Here is a 2,471-nt window from a genome sequence, read left to right on the forward strand (position 1 = left end):
TAGTTAACTCCCCGTTAACAGAGTGTTTCAGTGGGAATAAAAAAGCTTTGTTAGTGACCATGATGTGATTTGTAGAAATGTTTAATCAAAGGTTGACAACGATTTTATTCAGTTACCACAGGGAAGATCTTGGGGCTGAGTCTCCTGAACTAAAATGAAGTAGCATCATTTAACTCTGATCTTTGTGCCTGTTGAAAACTATCATCAAAACAACACAAGACAAGAAGGAGGAAAAAAATCAATAAATAGAATATAAAGTGAAGACAGGCGTGAGACAAAAACAGGAAGAACTGCAGTGTGATATGGTAAACAAACCCATAAGCTTTAAAATCAAGCGGGCCTGAGTGACAGAGAGGTGTGACCTTGTTAAGTACCTTCATCCTTCCGAGCTTCTATTTCCCCATATCTAAAGTGAAGATAATACCATCCACTTTACAGAGAATTTGCAAGTTCCAGAAGACAAGCTATGTAAAGTTTTTATACAGAGCCCTACAGATTGTAGCCACTCAATAAATGGTAACTGGTATTCTTTAGAGTATGTCACATAATATCATATTTTTAAGGAGCTAATAGATCCTGCTCTGCACTCACAGCAACAAGGTATAGAGGCTGCACATGAAGCCTTTATTTGGTGAAAAATAGACTTGCTAAAAGTAATACTTACAAATACACATTGTTTGTGCTAGCTGCTCCTTATTTATAGAGGAAGTGAAGGGGGAAATAAAATCTCCACTTCAAGAGCTTCTAGTCAGCTAAGTAAGACAACACAATTACAGACCTAAGAGAAAAATTACATTTGTGTGTAACCAAATACAAAGGAAAGCCTTTCAGAAATAGCTTGAGAGCAAGGGTGAAAAAATGACCTCAGCTTAAATTCTAAGCTTTACATTGTATACTTGTCCACTGCAGTTCTTGTGTCATTTCAGCTAATACTATGACTAAAAGTTAGAACAAGGTCTAGATTATGGTAAACTCTATGTAAGTGCTTTATATTTATTAACCTCTTTAGTACTATAACAACCATATGAGGGTGGTCATTTTATTATGCCTATTTTACAGATGAAGATACTAAGGCAAGAGAGGTAAAGTAATTTATCCAGGGTTACACAGTTAGTGAGAGATAAAGCTAGGATTCAACACCAAGCAGTTCACTCCAGAGTTCAGGTCTTAGCCTGACGCCATACCATGTCAGATGTTGAATCCATTTCCATCACAAAGATAAAACCATCTGCATATATATATATAAATGAAGATAAAGGCAAACTAAAGAAAGATGAAATGTTGAGGTTTTTTTTTTCTTGTCAAATATAAAGTTATATAACTAACATGGAGACAATGCTGGTATGATAGTAGTTCAAAATTTAGTCCATATAATGTGAAGAGTGTTTTTCTGCTGTTGAGTTCACTCAGTTTCCACATGGCCAAAGATAATTCAAAGCATCTATGGAAATGCTATTCTGTACTGCTCCTCCGGCCTTGAATAGTAGCTCTTAGGCTTGTTAAGCCAGCTGCAAAGTGTAGCTAGTCAATTATGGCAGCCAGAAATAGTGTATATTCATGAGTACAGCAGTGGCCTTTAACCCACAGAGCAAGGCCATTGCAGAGGATAGAAAACCAAATCTTGCAGCTCAGCCTCAACTTTCACCCTGATTTCCCATCCTCGGCAGCCCCAGAGAAGTAATTTTCAGCTTAGTATCTTGCTGATAGCCATCTGCGTCACAAAGCTATTATCCACCCCACGCCTTCTTACTTAACTCAATGTGTTCTGAGCCTGATAACCGAGACTACTGCAGAGGCACTCAGGACTGAACTTAATAGAAAGACTCAATTGCATTTCACCCCAGAGGGGGCTGCTTACAGGTCAGTGCTAAGATAATCAAGCAGCTTACGCCTCTGCCACCCCTGCTATTGCCACTGGTTGTTTCATAACCTGAGAAAATTCAAACACATTTATTGACAAACAAAAGTGACAACTGAAATGCTAGGAAAACCACCTTCTTTTTATTTTTTTTATCAAGATTGGACACAGCAAGTAATATTTCCCTAGGAGCAGTTTTGTTTTTCCTTCCAATCTTTCTGCCCAAATATTTTATGTTAAATCTCAGTTTTTGAGACTGAGGAACAATGTTAAGTCAACAACAGCTTTCCCAATTTGAGATAGCCATAGCTTGATTTGCAACAGAAAATGTCAGTGATAATAAGGCCTAATTGATTGCTTATAAGGAGAAATACATGATTGGTTTAATTCATTGCTTAAGGGGAAAAAGATATGATCCATGTTTTTATATATTTTTAAGGTCTTAAATTTATGTCTTGCTAAGCCAAGAAATATTTTTATAGAACTATTATGTAAATCGTTTTGTTCTAGGTACTGTGATTTATACAGACTATATCTTTATCAAATATATACCTGTTATCATGAGTTTTGACTGTCAGCTGTGTACTTCTCCACTGTCTGACCTAGATTATAC

General features: G+C 36.7%; 1 annotated feature.

Moving 5' to 3' along the window:
• Positions 1,477-1,677: a silencer, noted in NCBI's record as "peak7376 fragment used in MPRA reporter construct". NCBI's record gives its function as "represses an SCP1 promoter by STARR-seq MPRAs in K562 erythroleukemia cells {active_cell/tissue: K562}" and the evidence as "EXISTENCE:reporter gene assay evidence [ECO:0000049][PMID:32103011]".

The sequence above is a fragment of the Homo sapiens genome, chromosome X (genome assembly GCF_000001405.40).
Source record: "Homo sapiens chromosome X, GRCh38.p14 Primary Assembly".
NCBI lineage: Eukaryota > Metazoa > Chordata > Mammalia > Primates > Hominidae > Homo > Homo sapiens.